We start from the raw sequence: 20360 nt of genomic DNA on the forward strand, positions 1-20360 counted from the left end.
AATCCACTTCAGGGCCAGGGCAGGGCCAGTTCAGGGCCAGGGTAAGGGCTGCCAGGGTCATTGGCAGGGCCAGGGCCATGGCAGGACCAGGGTCAGGAGCAGGGGTCAATGCCAGGCCAAGGCCACAGATAGGACCAGGTCTGTGCTAGGGCCAGTGTGAGGGCCAAGACGGGGTCAGGGCAGGGCCAAAGGGAGGGCAGGGCCAGGGCAGGGTGGAGCAGGCCCAGGGTAGCACAGGGTTAAGGTAGGGCACGACCAACCAGGGCAGGTCTATGGCTGGGGCCGGGGCAGGGCCAGGGCCGGGGCAGGGCCAGAGCCAGGGCAGGGCCAAGACAGTGGCAGCTCCAGGGCAGGGCCAGGGTTAGGACCACGGACATGTCCAAGGCCAGTGCCAGGGCAAGGGCAAGGGCAGGGGCAGGGGCAGGGTCATCTAAGAATTAGGGACAAAGCCAGGCCCAGAGCTGGGCCAGGACCGGTACCTGCAGGGCTAGGGTCTGGGCCAGGGCCACAACCAGGTCTGTGCTATGGCCAGGTCCAACACAGTGCCCTGGTAAGGCTAGGGTGAAGGCCAAGGTAGGGCCAGGGCAGGGTCAAAGCCAGGCTAGGGCCAAGGCAGGGCCAGGAAAGCATAGGGCCAGGGCAGGGCAGGGCCAGGCCAGTGCCAAGACCTGGGCAGGGCCAGGGCCAGGGCCATAGAAACGGCCTGGGCAGGACCAGGTTTGGGGCAGGAGCAAAACAAGGGAAAGGACAGTGCAGGTTCTTGGCACAGCCAGGGTCCAGGACAGTGTCAGGGCAGGGCCAAGGCAGGGTCTGGGCCATGGTAAGACCAGCAACAGGGCTGGGGCTAGGTCAGTGACAGGACCAGAGTCAGGGCAAGGGCCAGAGCAGGGCAAGGCCAGGGTAGGGCCAGGCATTTCAGGGTCAGGGCCATGGGAGAACCAGGGCAAGGTCTCAAGCAGGGAAGGGCCAGGGCCAGGACAGGTCCAGGGCAGGGTCATGACAGGGCCAGGGGCTGCATTAGGGCAAGGGCAGGGCCAGAGCAAGGTAAGGGTCAGGGCCAAGGCTAGGGTAGGGACAGGGCAAGAAATATGGCAGGACCAGGGGCAATGCCAAGGCCAAGGCTGAGTCAGGGCTGAGTCAGGGCAGGGCAGGGCAGGGCATGGTATGGCCAGTGCAGGACAGGACAAGAGCCGGTCCACAGAGAGAGCAGGGCTGATGCCAAGAATGAGCCAGGCTAGTGCCAAGGCTGAGGCAGTGTCAGAGCATGTGCAGGGCAGGGCCGGGGCCAGGGCCAGAACCGAGCCAGGGCACAGCCAAGGCAGGGTAGGGCGGGGAAATAGCGTGGCCGGGTCAGTACTGGGACAGGGCAGAGCAGGGCAAGGCGATGGTAGGGGCAGGGCAGAGACAGGCCAATGCAGAGCCATGTTACACCGGGGCCAGGACACCTCCAAGTCCACTTCAGGGCCAAAGCTATGGCAGGACAAAGACCAGGGCCAGGGTCAGAGCCAGGTCTGTGCTGGGCCTAGCGAAGACTAGGGTGAGGGCCAAGGCAAGGCCAGGGCAGGGTCAAAGGCAGAGTAGAGCCAGGGCAGGGTGATGACACATCCAGAGCACAGCAGGGCAGGGTGATGGCAAGACCAGGGGCAGACCACTGCCAGCTCAGGGCCAGGGAAAGACCAGTGCAGAGCCAGGAAAGGGTCTGGGTCTGGGTCAGGGCCAGGAACAAGGCAGAGCAGGGCCAGGGCCATGGCAGAGTCAGGGCAGGTCCTTGACAGGACCAGGTTCCAGGCCAGGGCCAGGGCAGCAGCAGGGGCAGGGCCTGGATAAGGGCAGGGTCAGGGATATGGCAGGACCAGGGCTAGGGCCAGGGCCAGGCCATAGTGAGGGCAGGGCAAAAGCCAAGGCAGGGTCAGGGCAGGTCCAGGGCAGGTCCAGGAAGCGGCCAGCACCAAGCGGGGCCAAGGCACAACCAGCGCAGGGTAAGGCAGGGCAATGGCACCACTGGGCCATGACAGGGCCAGGTCAGTGCCAGGAGAGGGCAGAACAGGAAGGCCCATGGTGGGGCCAGGGCAGGGATGGGCCAAAGCAGAGCCAGGACATTTCCAAGGCCAGGTCAGGGCCAGAACAGGAGCAGGACCATGACCACTGGCAGGGCCAGTGCCATGACAGGACCAGGGTCAGGACAAGGGGCAGGGCCAGAGCCAGGGCCAGAGCCAAGGTCAGGCCAGTGCAGGTTCAGGGCAGGGCCAGTGCCAGGGCAAGACCAGGGCAGGGACAGGGTAGCACGGGGCCAAGACAGGGTCAGGATGGGACCAGAGCAGGACAGGGCTGAGAGTCCAGGTAACAGTAGGGCAGGTACAGGGCAAGGCAGGGCAGTACAGGGCCAGATCCACGGCAGGCACAGGGCAAAGCCAGGCCCATTGCCAATGCACCAGCCCTCCCTACAAGGCTCCTACCACCTGGCCACTGCTGCAGCCCGTCCATCGCTGTAAGCCTGACTCCCAACCCTGCCTGCAGCCGCCCGCCCTCCTAGCGTGGCCACTCTCCTACCGCTCTGGCGCACTGCAGTCTCCGTCACTGCCACCCACCTGCAGCGAGGTGAGCCGTGGTGTTGCAGGCTCTAGGTGTCTCCTCCTCCTCCTGGCATGGAGCAGCTGGGCGGGCAAAGCCAGAAAAGCCTAGAGGAAGTTGTGAAGAGTGGAAGCGTTAGAGCCTCAAGTTGTCATGCCGGCCACTGGGTGGCAGGGGCCAGTTTCAGCAAAGGCACTCACACCCACCCTCCAAAGTCCAGCCTCTCCTTTTGGCCCAAGCTGGCCGGGAACTGGGGTCTGGGGTGGGTGCTGGAGACACCACAGCACCCAGCTCCCCACTCCACAGGAACCACTGGGCCCACCGGGGCTGCACTCCTCGGGGAACAGGAGAAGCAGAAAAATTCAGACCCAGCCAGCCCTCCGCACCCAGGTGCTAATTCCTGTTCCGGATGCCTCCACACACAGGGCCCTGTTCCCCGTGGTGTCCCCAGGGGTGCCTGGCAGCCTCTGAGGCACAGACCCAGAGTGCACAGGCCCAGGAACCACGGTGGGTGTGGGGGCTCTGCCATGCTCAGGATTCCCATGCAAACGCTGCGTGCCCTGCCGCACTCCAGTATGACCAAGAGTGGTTCGCCCTCTGGAGTGTGGAGTCAGGGAGAGGAGAACCACTCCTTCCTTGGATGCCAACTCTGTTGACTGCCGCCAGCAGTGCAGCCCCTGATAGCACCGAACTCGCCCCCGCTCCACGGCTAGTCCTGCCCTCAATAGCGCCCCCCACCTCCGTCCCCCAATGCCGCCAGTAGCATATACCCGATATGCCCTAACCTGTCCTCCTCCATGGGCATTGCAGCCCCAGAAAGCACCCATAACCCACCCTCCCTGCTGTGGGCAGTGCAGTCCTGTGCAGTGCTACCAACCAGTACCCCTAATGCAGGCAATGACACCCTGGATAGCGCCCCCAACCCACCCCACACTGCGAAAGGTGCAGCCCTGGATAGCCCCTGTCCTACCACTCTGGTCATGCTGCAGTCTCTGTCACTGCCACCACCAACTACAGTGAGGCAAGCCAGTGGGCCGCAGGCTCTAGCTCCCAGCAGCCAGGCATGGAGCAGCTCTCGCTGATGGCCGGCTCCTACCACACTGACCATGCTGCTGTCTGTCTCCGTGGCAATCTTCTTTCACTACAAAGAAATAAAACTAGGTATCAATAAGAAAAGTAATTTTGGAAACAATACAATCACATGGAAGTTAAACACTACCCTCCTGAATAAATGACCTGAATAAATAAAGGTCAATGAAGATACTAAGACAGAAATTCAAAAATTTCATGAAACAAAGGGTAATGAAAACACAGTATACCAAAACTTGTTACGCAGAAAGCAGTACAAAGGCAGAGATTTACAGCTATAAGTGCCTACCATCCAAACAAAAGAAAAACTTCAAATAAACAATACATCTTAAAGAACTAGTAAAGTAAGAACAAACTAAACCGAAAATAAGAAAATAAATAAGATCGTAGCAGAAACAAAATTGAAATAAAAAACACACAAGATTAAACGAAAAGTTGGTTTTCTGGAAAGCTAAACAAAATTGACAAACTTTTAACCAGCCTAAGAAAAGAGACAAGATTCAAATAAATAAAATCAACAGATTAAAAAAAGGAGACATTACAACTAATACTTCAGAAATTCAAAGGATCATAACTGGCTATTATATGCCAATAAATTGGAAAGCCTAGTAGAAATTGGCAAATTCCTAGATGCATACAACCTACTTAGGTTAAACAATGAAAACATCCAAGACCAGAACAGATTGGTAACAAGTAATGAGATTGAAGCCATCAGAAAAAGTCTCCCAGTAAAGAAAAGCCCAGGAACTGATGATGTCTTCACTGCTGATGGCTTCACACCAAACAATTTAAAGACCTAGTACAAATCCTGCTCAAATTATTTTGAAAAACAGGAGGGAATACTTCCAAACTTATTCTATGAGACCATTATTACTGTGATACGAAAATCAGATAAAAGCATCAAAGAAGAAAACTACAGGACAGGATCTCTAATATTGATGCAAAAATCCTCAACAGAATACCAGTGAATCAAATTCAGTAATACATTAAAAAGATAATTCATCATGATCAACTGGGATGTATCCCTGGAATGCAAGAGTCACTCAACATACAATGTGATACATCATATCAACCAAATAAACGACAAAAACTGTATGATCATGTCAACTGAAACCAAAAAAGCATATGAAATTCAACATCCCTTCATGCTATAAATCCTCAAAGAAACAGGCACAGAAGAAACATACCGCAACATAATAAAAACTACAGGAAAGACACCCACAGCTAGAATCATATGGAATGGGGAAAAATGGAAAGCTTTTCCTCTAAGATCTGGAACATGATAAGGATGCCCCCTGTCACCACTGTTGTTTAACATAGTACCAGAAATCCTAGCTAAAGCAATCAGTGCAGCCCCTGATATGGCCCCCAACCCACCCTGCCCCCTACCACCAGCAGTGTCGCCCCCCCCCAATAGCACACCCAACATACCCTAACCTCCCCGCCTCCCCGCACCATGGGCATTATAGCAGCCCATAGCGCCCTCAACCCAAAACCGCCACCCCCCCCCCACAGCCACACAGTGCAGCCCCAGATAGCACACTTAACCCACCTCACTGTTGCCAGCAATACAGTCTGGGATAGTGCCCCCAACCGGCTCCCCGCCAAAGGCAGTGCAGCCCCGGTTTGAGCCCCCAAACCGCCCCCCCCCCCGCCCCCGGCAGGCAGCACAGCCCCAGATAGCACACCCAACCAGCCACCCAAGACGGGCAGTGACGCCTGAGATAGGGCTCCCAACCCGTCCCAGGCCACCAGCAGTGCAGCCTGGATGGCGCACTTACCCCAATGCCTTTCTACACTGGCTGGCTGCAGTGTCCATCGCTGCCACCAACCACAAACATGGCTGCAAACAGGAAGGATTTTATTCACCGTCGATGCGGCCCCGAGTTGTCCCAAAGCGAGGCAGTGCCCCAAGGTCTATGCAGAGCAGAACGCAGCTCCGCCCTCGCAATGCTCTCCGGGTCTGTGCCGAGGAGAACGCAGCTCCGCCCTTGCAAAGGCACACAGCGCCGGTGCCGGCGTGGCGGAGAAGCGGACAGCGGCGGAGAGGCGGTCGGCGGCGGCGCGGCGGAGAGGCGGTCGGCGGCGGCGCGGCGGAGAGGCGGTCGGCGGCGGCGCGGCGGAGAGGCGGTCGGCGGCGGGGCGGCGGGGCGGCGGAGAGGCGGTCGGCGGCGGCGCGGCGGAGAGGCGGTCGGCGGCGGCGCGGCGGAGGCGAGGCGGGCGGCGGCGGCGCGGCGGAGGCGAGGCGGGCGGCGGCGGCGAGGCGGGCGGCGGCGGCGAGGCGGGCGGCGGCGGCGAGGCGGGCGGCGGCGGCGAGGCGGACGGCGGCGGCGCGGCGGAGAGGCGCACAGCCGCGGAGAGGCGCACAGCGGCGGAGAGGCGCACAGCGGCGGCGCAGGCGCGGAGAGGCGCAGGCCCAGGCTCCACTCCCCAGCTCTGAAAACTCATCCTGGTCAGAGTTCAGAAGGACATGTGGAGTATAAGGTCAGATGCGGAGATAAAGGGAGATGGTGTGGCCCTCCTGCCTGGGGGTGCTGAGCAGGTTGCTGGAGGCGGTGATCTCACTCTGAAGGAGACAGACACAGAAATGTGTGTACAGTTGATGGTGAGCATCTGAGTTGCGTCTTGTTAGTGAGGCCAGGAGTGCCTGTGTAAGCTGGAACAGATTAGGTATATGATTTGTGAAACGGAGTTTCATCCTAGATCTTCATCTAGTCAAAGGACTGTTTCCTGATTAGGCATTAGCTTAGTGGTTGCTAGTCTGTGTTGACCTTTGAAAGGCATGACTAGGCTAACTCTGAAGTTTCTGCTTCACACCATTTACAATTTAAAATTACCTAGAGCCTTGTGGGCCATTGGAAGAGACTGAATGTTTCACTCTGAAATGGGAGTCCTTGGAGGGTTTTGAGCAGAGGAGAGACATTCAGGTAATCAGATCACTCTGCCAAGACATCAGTCCGGTAGAGATCAGTCCGGTGGCACAAACCAGAGGGCTAGCAGTGGAGATGAGACAAAGAGTCAAACCCGGATAGAGTTTATTTGGAAGCTGGGTCAGTAGGATCTCCTGGTGGACTGAATGTGGGGTGTGTGAGGAAATGAGGATGGCGACTGGAAGTTCCTGGAAGGATGGGTTGTTGCAGGTTAGATAGGAAACTGTCTGCAGATGCAGTTTTGGGAAGATGATGTTTGTTTCGGCTGGGTATCATGCAGACAAGCGGAGTGTCAAGTCTGGAGAGACAGGTCTGGCCAGGGACTTAGATGTACAGCCCTCAGCATGTAGATGCCACTTAACTCTGTGAGGTGGCCGGGGAGTGAGTGCAGAGTGACTGGGAGGAGCAAGACTGGCATGGGCGAGATGGGGCGATTGCGGCCGTGAGGCCTGAGCAGTGCCTAGGAGGGAGAGGGAGAAGCAGTGTGAGCCTGCAGGCACGCAGGAGTCCAGTTGTACACGGAGGCGAAACACTGTTCAGATCCCGCTGCAGTGTTAACTATGGTAAAGGCAGAGTTGACCACCGGAGGAGTCTTTCAGCGTGGAGGCCTTCAGCGATCTTGGCAAGCACCAATTTTCATGGATGTAGGAGAATGGGAGCAGAGGAACTGGAGGCTGCAACTGTGGAAAACTTTTGTGGGGTTTTGCTGCAGAGAGAAGCAGAGAAATGAAGCAGTTTTTGGTGGAAGAAGTGGAATCAAAAGGTTTTGAGATGAGAGAGAGAACAGAGGGAAGAGCTGTTGGAATAAAGTCCAGGAAGAGTGGATGGTGTCTAGTGAGCAAGTGATGTGTGGCCCTGAGTAGAGGCATGGACAAATCATCTGTGCCTGAGCTGCCCGTAGAACTTTCTGTGATCATGGAGATGCACATCTGTGCTTCCCAATATTGTAACACTGGCCACAGGTTGATATGGACCACTTCCAGTGTGACTAGTGTGATTGAGGAACTGCATTTTAAATATTATGTAATTGTAATTAATTTTAATTTAAATAGCCACACATAGCTCCTCTATGGGGCAGGTCAGAGCTCTGATAAGGCTGGATATGGGAGGAAACCCTGGTATAGGGTTGACCGTAGAGGTTCTTTTGGTTTTGGAGTGAATCAGGAAACAGCCATCAGCTGAGTGAAGGTGAGGGTGGTGGTGGGTGTTTGAAGACAAGGGAAAAGTGTGAAAGAATTATTTGGAGAGGAAGGAAAGAAAGTGTGGACTGGGGATGTTTCCAATGTTTGAGCACGCAGGGCTCCACAGTTATCTACATTTGCTGTCCCTTGGAGCAGGAGAGAAGAAAATGGTTGGGACATATTCTGAACAGACTGTAGAGGTAAAATGTGTAGGGTTTTTTTTGTTTTTTTTGTTTTTTGAGATGGAATCTCGCTCTATTGCCCAGGCTGGAGTGCAGTGGCACGATCTTGACTCACTGCAACCTCCGTCTCCCAGGTTCAAGCGATTCTCTCACCTCTGCCTCCTGAGTAGTTGGGACTACAGGCACGCACCACCATGCCCAGCTGATTTTGGTATTTTTAGTAGAGACAGGGTTTCACCATGTTGGCGAGGCTGGTTTCAAACTCCTGACCTCATGTGATCTGCCCGCCTCGGCCTCCCAAAGTGCTGGATTACAGGCATGAGCCACTGTACCCGGCCAAATGTGTAGTATTTTTAATAGGATAAAGCCTACATAATTCTGTCCACAGTTCCTTTACTTAGAAATTGCTCATTTGTTCATGTTAATCCTATGTTTATTACAAATAACAGCATACAGGTTCCCCCCCCCCACCCCATCATGTACAGCTGAATCACGTAGAATTTGAAGATCAAGATGATGAAGCCAGAGTTCAGTATGAGGGTTTTCGACCTGGGATGTATGTCCGCGTTGAGATTGAAAATGTTCCCTGTGAATTTGTGCAGAACTTTGACCCCCTTTACCCCATTATCCTGGGTGGCTTGGGCAACAGTGAGGGAAATGTTGGACATGTGCAGGTGGGTCCCTTTGCTGCGTATTTGGTGCCTGAGGCTCTGTGGATTTCCCCTCCATCAATCATCTTACCCTCTCATCCCCCTCAGATGCGTCTGAAGAAACATCTCTGGTATAAGAAAATCCTCAAGTCCCAAGATCCAATCATATTTTCTGTAGGGTGGAGGAGGTTTCAGACCATCCTGCTCTATTATATCGAAGACCACAATGGAAGACAAAGGCTTCTAAAGTATACGCCACAGCATATCCATTGTGGAGCCGCCTTTTGGGGTAAAATATGATTACAATAACTTGCCTATTGCCGAGATTAAACTTTACAGGCTGTGTTATTTTAGCTTTGTGCTTTTCCTTTCATAAAATTCCACTCCTAAGATGTTTCTCTTTTCTGGGAGCGGGGAGGTGGTTTGGAGTATATATGTACATCTATATCCAAATCTAAGTGTCCATATCCAGTATGTTAAACTAGAATCTAAAATTTCTGGTTTGCTATATTTCTTTTTTTCCTTTTCCTTTAAGACCCTATCACTCCACAGGGAACTGGTTTCTTGGCAATACAGTCTGTCAGTGGCATAATGGTAACTATCTTGGATGATTTCTTTTACAGATTGGTTTGAGAAATATATCCTGAATGTGGGTTATTATGTACATGAGACTTTAAGTTGAAAATTACTCATTTTTATTAATATAAAGTAAATTTCCCTTTGCTTTTAATCTTCGTACATCCTTTTCAGTAGGGTGTGGGATTAGAGGAGGGGAGGTGGAAGAATTATAATGGTACATTTCCTATTTTTATGCATCTTTTGCATTTATTTATCCAAGCAAGTATTTAAGCAGTGCTCACCATGTGCTAAGCACTATATGAGGTTATGAGGAGCCGTCAGAGACCACCCAGACACAAGACTCCCTGCAGCTGTGCTGGGGTAGCAGTCTGTTCACTCCATTTTCATTTGACCAGTCAGGCAGGGCAGGGTTTACTGGTCCCATTTAACAGAGAAGAAAGCAGAATAATGAGCAGATGGAATCTTCCCTGGAGGTCCAAATTTTAATTTCCTAAACATTGCAACTGTATTTTTCTTTTCCATTTCGTTCCAAATAAATCATTATAGTAAAATTACATTCCTCTGAAATCACTCTCAGGAAAGTACTCAAGTAGCCTTTTTTTTTCTTTCTTTTTTTTTTTTTTTTTTTTTGAGACCGAGTCACACTCTGTCTTCCAGGCTGGAGTGCAGTGGCACGATCTTGGCTCGCTGCAACCTCTGCCTCCTGGGTTTAAGCGGTTCTCCTGCCTCGGCCTCCCGAGTAGCTGGGATTACAGGTATGCACCATCATGCCGAGCTAATTTTTGTATTTTTAGTAGAGACGGAATTTCGCCATGTTGGCCAGACTGGTTTCAAACTTCTGACCTCAGGTGATCCACCTGCCTTGGCCTCCCAAAGTGCTGGGATTACAGGTATGAGCCACTGTGCCTGGCCTCAAGTCACCCTTGTTAGTTTGGCTTACCAACTTTAAAGTTTTGGATTGCTTTTGTCAAACCAATGGGTTGCAAGTTCAGATGGTCTCTCTTGTTTTTCTTAACTAATTGTAAGTAAAATTCACTTTGGTAATTTATTGTGTCACATAGAATTGAAGTTTTTCTCTTGCTAATATTATTCCTATTTTCAAATTTTGGGGCTCCTGTTAGCCTGATTTTCAGATAGCTGCCACAGGAGTTGTCCTTGATCTGGATAAATCCATAAAAATTGTGAAGAAATTAAAGCTAACTGGTTTTCCATATAAAATTTTCAAGAACACTTCATTTATTAAGGTCTGTATATCTATATATTCTCATATTTATAAATGTCCATATTGTTTGAGAAAAGGAATGAAATACCTCTAAAATGTGGGCCTCTTATTTTTAGAAAAGTGTTTGAAATCTTTTATAAACTTCATATTTTGTTTGCTCCTTTATATTCTGTATTACTTAAATATGCTCAAAAAAGCAGTGGTAAACAGCTATTTAGGAATTGAGGCTGTTACTCCTGACTTCCATGTGAGACTGCCACAGAACTCATATTGAAAATATGTCATTTTATCCACTAGGTTTTGTTTCCTACTTTTTAAATTGGTGTTAAGAAAGGGAAAAAAATCACAAGTTTGTCTAACTCAGTAGAAAAATCGACAAAGCATTTGCAGACAACTTGGCAAGGGTACAGAGAAACGGATGTACTGTTTTTCAGTATTTTGGGAGGGTGGTTTGAGCAGCATTTATTGACAATTTCATTAGTGGGGATGTTTCTATTGAAAACAGAGTTAGGAAGTCATAAAATGTTCTTGCAATATAAGGTAATAATACCACTGGCGTTTATCTTACTGTTTTCATGTTCTAAGTGCATGCATCTGAGTAAAAGGATCTGGGCTGCAGTCCAGTCTGAGAGATGCCAGCAAAGGCTTCCTAGGCCAATTCAGTCCAGTAAATCCCTCTTCGATCTTCTCTTCCACACAGACAGCAGTGATGAGCATGCCCATGAACTCACATGATTATTTTGGGGAAAATGAAAGAGTTGTATTCTTTTTGAGGTAGTAATTCCACTTTCAGGGGCAAATACATTTTGATTATTTTATCACCCTTCAGTGAGTTGTTTTTGTTCTTTAATCACGGATGTATGTTTGAAGTAAGAAGTAAAGCATAAAGTATATGATTTTGTGTGTGTGTGTGTTTTTATCTTGCTATACCTGTAGGGAATGTTTAATTCTGCCTTGGAAGTGGCCAAATTTGAAGATGCTGTGATTCGAACTGTCAGTGGGATAAGGGGGCAGATCAAGAGAGCACTCTGAGCTCCAGAAGGAGCTTTCCAGGATAGCTTTGAGGATAAGCTGCGGATGAGCGGTGAGTGTCTTAAGTAGTGTTCAGGGCAGGGTGTTACCATTCATGCTTGACTTCTAGCCAGTGTGACGAGAGGCTGGAGTCAGGTCTCCAGAGAGTTGAGCAGCTCCAGCCTTAGATCTCCCAGTCTTATGCAGTGTGCCCATTTGCCTTGTGTCTGCAGTCCCCTGGCCACACCCAGTAACAGTTCTTTGATCTATGAGAATAGTTTCCTTAGCGAGCTTTCCCTTCAAATACTTTGCAGTCAGGTAGAGAAGTTTGGAGTGAAGATTTTGTTCTTTGTTTCTTCACAATATGGATATGAATCTTCTTTTGAAAACGTTAAAGTAAATTACCTCTTTTCAGATATTGTCTTCATGCGAACTTGGTATCCTGTTTCCATCCCAGCCTTCTATAACCCAGTAACATCTTTGTTGAAACCAGTGGGTGAGAAAGACACCTGGTCAGGAATGTGGACCACGGGCCAACTCAGGCTCGCCCATGGTGTCAGACTAAAGACAAACAAGGACTCTCTGTATAAGGTACTGGTCGTGTGTGTGTTAGTGGAGATGAAGCCTGTGCTCTACAGACAGGGAGTCACACAGACACTTTTCTATAATTTCTTACATACTTTGAATGTTCAAGTATAAAGTCTAATGTTAAATTTGATTGAACAATTGTATATTTGTGGGATATTTTGGAATGGAACACCAAAAAATGGTAATAGTGGTTCTTTCTGGATTGAAGGAAAACTTTTCTTTTTTAAAATAAATTTTATTTTATATATTTGAGGTTGACAACATGATCTTAAAGGATACATATAGATAGTAAACTGGTTACTATAGTGAAGCAAATTAACATAGCTACCATCTCACATAGTTAGATTTTTGTTTGTGTGACAGGAACAGCTAAAATCTACTTATTTAACAAAAATCCCAAAGACAATATATTTTTATTAACTATTGCCCTCATGATGTACACTAGATCTCTAACTTGTTCATCCTACATGTCTGCTACTTTGTATTATTTTAATGTACATCTCCCCATTTCCTATTGGTCATTTCCTATTTGGCCCATTTTTCAACTGGGTTGTTTTTCTGCTCTTAAGTTGTAAGAGTTCTTTACTGATTTTTGGATATTAACACTTTATCAGATATGTGGTTTGCAAATATTTCTTCCAGTCTGTAGGTTCCCCTTTCATTTTGTTGGTTGTTCCTTTGCTGTGCAGAAGCTTTTTAGTTTGATGCAGTCCTCCTTGTTTATGTTTACATTTGTAGCCTGGCTTGTGGTGCGATATCCAAAAAATTATTGCTAAGGCCAATGTCAAGAGGCTTTCCCCCTATGTTTTCTTCTAGGAGTTTTATGGTTTCAGGTCTTATTTGGGTCTTTGGTCTTGTATCTGTTTTGAGTTGATTTTTGTGTATGGTGTATGATCAGGGTCCAATTTTATTCTTTTGCATGTGAAAATCCTATTATTGAAGAGACTATCTTTTTTACCATTGTGTTGTCTTGTTTGCCCTTGTCAAAAATTAGTTGACAGTATATGTTTGGATTTATTTCAAAGGTCTCTGTTACGTTCCATTGGTCTATTTTTTTGTTTTTATGCCAGCACCATACTGTTTTGATTACTATAGCTTTGTAATGCAATTTTAAATCAAGAGGTGTGATGCCTCCAACTTTTTCTTTCACAGTGATCTGTTGGCTGTTTGGGGTTTTTTGTGGTTCCATATGAGTTTCAGGATTGTTTTTTCTTTTCTTTTCTTTTTTTTTTTTTTTTGAGGTGAAGTCTCACTCTGTCACCCAAGCTGGAGTGCAGTGGCATAATCTCGGCTCACTAAAACCTCTGCCTCCTGGATTCAAGCAATTCTTCTGCCTCAGCCTCCCAGGTAGCTGGGACTACAGGCACATGCCACTATGCCCGGCCAATTTTTGTAGTTTTAGTAGAGACAGGGTTTCACTATGTTGGCCGGGCTGGTCTCCAACTCCTGACCTCATGATCCACCCGCTGCAGTCTCCCAAAGTGCTGGAATTACAGGCGTGAGCCACTGTGCCTGGCCAGGATTGTTTTATTCTGTTCTGTGAAGAATGTCATCAGAACTTTGAGGAGGATTGTGTTAAATCTGTATATTTGCTTTGGGTAGTGTGAACATTTTAACAATATTAATTCTTCTGATCCATAAACATAGGATGTCTTTTCATTTGTTCATGTCTAAATTTCTTTCATCAATGTTTTATGGTTTTTAAGTGTACACATCTCTCACCTTCTTGGTTAAATTTATTCCTAAGTTTTTGTTTTTCTTTGATGCTATCGTAAATGAGATTATTTTCTTGATTGCTTCATCAGCTAGGTTATTTGTATACAGAAATGCAACTGATTTTTATATGTTGAGTTTATACCTTGCAGCTTAACTGAATTGATTTAGTAGTTCTCACAGTTTTTTGTGGACTCTTTGGAGTTTTTTACGTAAAGGATCTTGTCATCTGCAAATAGAGATAATTTTACTTCTTTAATTTAGTTGCCTTTTTTTTCTCATCTGATTGCTCTTGCAAGTACTCTGTTGAATAAAAGTGATGAGGCTGGCCATCCCTATCTTGTACTCAATCTTAGTGGAAAAGCTTTAGTTGTTCCCCACTAACTATGATTAGACTGTGGGTTTTTCATAAATGGTGTTTATTATGTTGAGGAACTTTCCTTCTATACATAAACTATTAAGAGGTTTTATCAAGAAATGTTGCTAAACTTTGTTAAATGCTTTTACTGCATCAATTGAGGTGACCATGTCATTTTATCTTTCATTTTGTTAATGTGATGTATCACATTGATTGATTTACATATTTTAAACCAGCCTTGCATGCCAGGGATAAATCCCACTTAAACACGATGTATAATGTTTTTGATGTGTTGTTGAATTCTATTTGCTAAAATTTTTTTAGGATGTTTGCATCAGTATTTAATTTATTGGAGAAGTTGACCTGTAGTTTTTGTTCGGTGTGTGTGTGTGTGTGTGTGTGTGTGTGTGTGTGTGTGTGTGTGTGTGTGTTTTGGTTTGGCTTAGGTATTAAGGTGATACTGGCCTGGTAAAATGTGTTTGGAATTATTTCCTCTCACTCTGTTTTTGCGAAGAGTTTAAGAAGTAAACTCCCAGGGGATGGGAGTGACTCTGGACATGGGAGTGACATGATAGTGACTCTGGACCCTGCAGTGGTGGGACACAGCAGCATCTCAGTCTCTGAAAGGCCAGGCACAGCATCAGCAAGGACCCCAGAATGGTGGAGCACTACTGTGGCTTGAGCCCTCGGGGGCAGGGACCAGTACAGCAACTACTTCTCTCCCTGGGGAGGCAGGTGCCTGGGCAACTCAGATTCTCCAGGGCTAGTCCAGTTCCAAGGAAGCAGGGTTCTACAGTTGTTTGTCCTGAAGGGCAAGGTACCCCAGTTCAGCCAATGCCGTTTTCCTGGGATATGGGGGTGCCATGTTGGCTCATCCCTGGCAGGTGTGGCTGCTCAGCTCAGCCAAGACACTGATTCCCTGTGAAGCAGGGCAGTGCTTCAGCTCTCATGCAGTGGGGGGTGTGACTGCTTAGACTGGCCAAGACACTGATTCCCTGGAAAGCAGGGCACCAAGTCAGCTCAGGCTCCAAGGGGCAGGGCGCAATGGCAGCTGGGAGGGGAGGGGCACAGCAGCGTGGCCCCGCAGGTGGGGTGTATGCTGTGATGTGGACATCATTTGTTCCCACCAGCCATTTGAAATTTCATCCATTTGAAATTTGATTTCAAATGTGGTGGTGTGGGAGGTGGGGCCTAGTGGGAGTTATTTGAGTCACAGGGCAGATCCTTTATGAATAGATTAATGCCTTTTCATGGGACTGGATTAGTTACCAGGAGTGGATTGTTATCAGAGTGAGTTCAGCTTCCTAGACTCTTGTGTTTCCTCTCTTGCCATGTGAGCCCCTTGCATACACCTGTTTCGCCTTCCACTTTCCCCATGAGATGAAGCAGCACAAGACCCTCACCAGTTGTGCTGCCCGATCTCGGACTTTTTAGACACAAGCAGGGTGAGCCAAATAAACCTTTTTTATAAAATAAGTTACCCCGAGTCTCAAGTATTCTGTTACAGCCACACTAAATGGCCTAAGACAGTGTAACAGCGGCTCGGGGGTGGTGGGCCACTAGGTGGGTGTGATATAGAGCAACAAAGCCTGAGGATGGAAGAAGGGTGCGGTGGCTGCTCACCCTGGGTGGGACATGCTCCCGAAGTGGTCCAGGTCCAGGAGGGCACGTTGCAGCAGCAGCTGGTCCATGGGGGTGGGGCACAATGTCAGTTCCTTCTCTGAGGGGAGTGCTGGGGCTACTGGGCCCCTCTTGCTTCCTTATTCCTGCAGGGAGACATCCCCTCTGCTTCAGGCTGATCCCTCTGGGGGAATGGGTGGTGGGGGCCAGATGTTTCCTTCCCTCCTTTATGTGACCGTCCTGTTTTCCGGGCTCTACTGGATTTCTGCTACTCCTTGATGCACTCTGGGGCTCTCCTTTAGTGACTTTCATCAAAATATAGCTGTTTGCTGCTTTGGCTGTCTTTGTCAGGGGATGAGTGCAAGGGGCTATTGATCAGCCCTTAGCTGGCATCACTCCCTCTTAAACTTTTCACTGGATACTCTTTTGAACTGTTTTTTTCCCCCACCATATACATGTATTTTTTAAACGTTAATGTGCTAATTTCTACTGAAGCAATGTGGATTTTTCTGAAAGCTTTAATGTTTTAATAAGCTTTTTATTGAAATGTTAATGTACATACAGAAGAGTGCCCGAATCATAAGTGTGCATCTAGATGAACTGTAGCACACCAGGCTGCCACGCCCTGGACCAAGCAGTAGCCTTGACCTGTGGCCTCTCCCAGGCACTGCTGCCCCAACCCACAAAATAGCTACTTTCCCAGTTCCTGATGTAGATTTGTTCTGCCTGGTTTTGACTTCTATAAAATACAGCACATTCTATTTAGCCTGGCTTCTTTGGTTCAGTATTACAGAACACATCCATGTTCTTGTCTATGGCAGACATTGATTTATCGTCATTGTTGAGTTCCATTATATGACTGTGTCACCATTTTTCCATTGATGAGTAAAATGATTTCCTATTTTTGGCTGTTATCCCACGGCCCTGAACAGTAGGTCTGCATATGGGACTTGCAGGTATGCAGGGGCACACCCACTTCTGCTGGAGGATCCCTGGGTGGGGTGGAGACTCCAGGGCACCTGTGCTCTGCTTCAGTGTGGAGGCTTCTGTGTTGTGTTCTGGGAGCACAGTGGCTTGGCCTCCGCCACCAGCAGCAGCTTGAAGAGTTCCTGCTGTTCCACATGGTTGCCAACAATTGGCCTCTTCAGTTTTTTTTTTTTTTTTTAGGTTTTCAGTGCCTGCCTGGACTTGTGTTTTCATTTAGATTTTGGTTTCTTAGAACTTTCGTTATTCTCTTCACAGCTTAACAATGCATTTGAAAAGATTTGTTTTCATGTGGAGTATTCAGTTTTGTAATAGGAGGGTTGTTCAAGGCATCAGTCTGCCACTCTGCTAGAAACAGAATTCTCCCAGGCATTTCTTTTTATATAAAGTAGTTAATGAAATTTTGAACCATCTTACATGAATTTTTATTAAAATACACTTCAGGATGTGGTGCCCATTATCCATTCTACTCTTTTGTAACAAGTAGATTTCTCTGAATTCTTGAATTTGAAAACAATTGGGGTTCCTAAACAGAGAATATGGAATATTATTGGGGATGATGTCTTTAATAATACATCTCAAGATAGGAGAAACTTTTTCTATATAGTTGACTTTAATAAAAGCCTAGGGCAAAACTTTCAATATATTAACAGTATTTATGAGGCAGTTAAGAATTTGGGTCATCTCTGTCTCCACTAAAAATACAAAAAGTTAGCCAGGTGTGGTGGCGGGTGCCTGTAGTCCCTGCTACTTGGGAGGCTGAGGCAGGAGAATGGTGTGAACCCGGGAGGTGGAGGTTGCAGTGAGCCGAGATCATGCCACTGCACTTTAGCCTGGGCAACAGAGCGAGACTGCGTATCAAAAAAAAAAAAAAAAAAAGAATTTGGGTCATCTCAATTAAACATAGAATTTAAGATTACATTGAAAATTCAGTACAGAGTATTTTGCCTTCATCTGTTGTTTGAGTCTCCCTTCTTTCAGCCATCCTTCCATCAGAAATAGAATACCAAGTTAAACTTCTTAATTAGAATCAGGAATCAGGACTCTTTGGCTGCTGATTGAAGGAAGAACTGTCCTTAAATCCAGAGTGGGCCGGGCATGGTGGCTCATGCCTGTAATCCTAGCACTTTGGGAGGCCAAGGCAGATGGATCACCTGAGGTCAGGAGTTCAAGAGCAGCATGACCAACATGGTGAAACCCCATCTCTACTGAAAATACAAAAATTAGCCGGGCGTGGTGGTGTGTGCCTATAGTCCCAGATACTTCGGAGGCTGAGATAAGAGAATTGCTTGAACCTGGGAGGTGGAGGTTATGTGAGCCAAGATCACGCCACTGCACTCTAGCCTGGGTGACAGGGCGAGACTCCATCTCAAAAAAAAAAAAAAAAAATCCAGAGTGGTTGGTAGTCAAGACAAAAAGCTAGATTATTTTTGTTAGTCTGGGAACTAAAAAAAATAGTTGTAACTTTGAAGCCTTTTTATGGATCAACATGAAGATTGAGGGATCTCAAACAGAAAGGGCATCCTGGTGGCAAAGGTTAATCATTACCAGACTGCAAGAGTAGTTTCAATGGCAAGAAAGCAGCAACAGAATCAATGAAAACAAAGCAATGATTAGAATGCCCTTTCCCCTTCTCCTCCTGACTTGTAGACACTGATTGTCTTCCTTGGACTTAGGGAACCCCTTAGGTTCTTGAAAAATTCAATGATCAGGCTATAGTAGATGGTCCCCAGTACACAGCACAAGATTTTTTGATAAACTGGACATTTTGAAACCCAAATAACTAATTAGAAAAATCAAACATGTGAAACTACTTTATCCCATGCATAGGGGTTATACTGGAAATAAAATGTACAACATTGGAATCCTGAAGGAGAAAAGTCCTAAAAGTTTCAATATCAAGAATCCTGCACCTGCTGCTACTTATCTAGCCTTTTGCTTGATTTCTGGCTGATGAACTTGCACAACTCTTGAAAACTTAAAAACTTGAAAATTTGTCACTTGAAAACTACTTGAACCAAACTATGAAATCTCACCTGATATATAAGATGCAATTGTTACAATTATTTTAAACTTCAATTTACTGTTTTGCTCTATCAAAAGAAAGTTTCAACTCTGTTAGTTGAGTACACACATCGTAAACAAGTTTCTGAGAATGCTTCTGTCTAGTTTTTATGGGAAGATATTTCCTTTTTCACCTTAGGCCTCAAAGCGCTCCAAATGTCCACTTACAGATTCTACAAAAGGAGTGTTTCAAAACTGCTCAATCGAAATTAAGGTTCCACTCTGCGAGATGAATGCACACATCACAAAAACTTTGTCAGATTGCTTCTGTCTAGTTTTGTGTGAAGATATTTCCTTTTCCACCACAGGCCTCAAAGCTCTCCAAATGTCCACTTGCAGATTCTACAAAAGGAGTGTTTCAAAACTGCTCTATCGAAAGTTAAGTTCAACTCCATGAGATAAATGGCAACTCCATGAGATAAATGACAAATAAGCTTGTCAGAATGCTTCTGCCTAGTTTTAATGTGAAGATATTTCCTTCTCCACCATAGGCCGCAAAGTGCTCCAAATGTCCACTTGCAGATTCTACAAAATGAGAGTTCTCAAAACTGCTAAATTAAAATAAAGTTTCAGCTCTGTGAGAGGAATGCACACATCACAAAGCAGTTTCACAGAATGCTTCCATCTAGTTCTTAAATGAAGATACTTCCTTTTCCACCATAGGCCAAAAAGCGCTCCAAATGTCCACTTGCAGATATTACAAAAAGAGCTTTTCAAAACTGCTCAATGTCTGTTCATGTCCTTCACCCACTTTTTGATGGGGTTGTTTGTTCTTTTCTTGTAAATTTGTTTGAGTTCATTGTAGATTCTGGATATTAGCCCTTTGTCAGATGAGTAGCTTGTGAAACTTTTCTCCCATTTTGTTGGTTGCCTGTTCACTCTGATGATAGTTTCTTTTGCTGTGCAGAAGCCCTTTAGTTTAATTAGATCCTATTTGTCAATGTTGGCTTTTGTTGCCATTGCTTTTGGTGTTTTAGACATGAAGTCCTTGCCCATGCCTATGTTCTGAATGGTAATGACTCGGTTTTCTTCTAGGGTTTTTATGCTTTTAAGTCAAAAGTTTAAGTCTTTAATCCATCTTGAATTGATTTTTGTGTAAGGTGTAAGGAAGGGATCCAGTTTCAGCTTTGTACATATGGCTAGCCAGTTTTCCCAGAACCATTTATTAAATAGGGAATCCTTTCCCCATTTCTTGTTTTTCTCAGGTTTGTCAAAGATCAGATAGTTGTAGATATGTGGCATTATTTCTGAGGGCTCTGTTCTGTTCCATTGATCTATATATCTGTTTTGGTACCAGTACCATGCTGTTTTGGTTACTATAACCTTCTAGTATAGTTTGAAGTCAGGTAGTGTGATGCCTCCAGCGTTGTTCTTTTGGCTTAGGATTGACTTGGCGATGCGGGCTCTTTTTTGGTTCCATATGAACTTTAAAGTATTTTTTTCCAATTGTGTGAAGAAAGTCATTGGTAGCTTGATGGGTATGGCATTGAATGTGTAAATTACCTTGGGCAGTATGGCCATTTTCACGATATTGATTCTTCCTACCCAAGAGCATGGAATGTTCTTCCATTTGTTTGTATCCTCTTTTATTTCCTTGAGCAGTGGTTTGTAGCACCTC

General features: G+C 46.9%; 1 long non-coding RNA gene and 2 pseudogenes across 3 annotated transcripts in view; 1 reads left to right on the forward strand and 2 right to left on the reverse strand.

Annotated features, from left to right (window-relative positions):
- Window positions 1-1275: 1275 nt before the first annotated feature.
- On the reverse strand, window positions 1276-5717 carry LOC107987071 (uncharacterized). Of its 2 annotated transcripts, none has more exons than XR_001746686.1 (3): window positions 5442-5717; window positions 3542-3712; window positions 1276-2678 (listed from the first exon to the last, which is right to left on the reverse strand). It is a non-coding gene; the product is annotated as an uncharacterized LOC107987071 (long non-coding RNA). The 2 variants fall into 2 exon arrangements; XR_001746687.2 differs by lacking the exon at window positions 5442-5717 and adding an exon at window positions 4848-4985.
- On the forward strand, window positions 8430-12006 carry BMS1P13 (BMS1 pseudogene 13; annotated as a pseudogene).
- Window positions 17280-20360, reverse strand: part of LOC101928195 (methylenetetrahydrofolate dehydrogenase (NADP+ dependent) 1 like pseudogene) — a 40305-nt pseudogene continuing 37224 nt past the window's right edge. Inside the window, exon 5 of the transcript NR_135597.1 lies at window positions 17280-17529. The product of NR_135597.1 is annotated as a methylenetetrahydrofolate dehydrogenase (NADP+ dependent) 1 like pseudogene (transcript). The remainder of the gene's footprint in view (window positions 17530-20360) is intronic.

Source organism: Homo sapiens, chromosome 9 (assembly GCF_000001405.40).
Source record: "Homo sapiens chromosome 9, GRCh38.p14 Primary Assembly".
In the NCBI taxonomy this organism is placed as follows: Eukaryota; Metazoa; Chordata; class Mammalia; order Primates; family Hominidae; genus Homo; species Homo sapiens.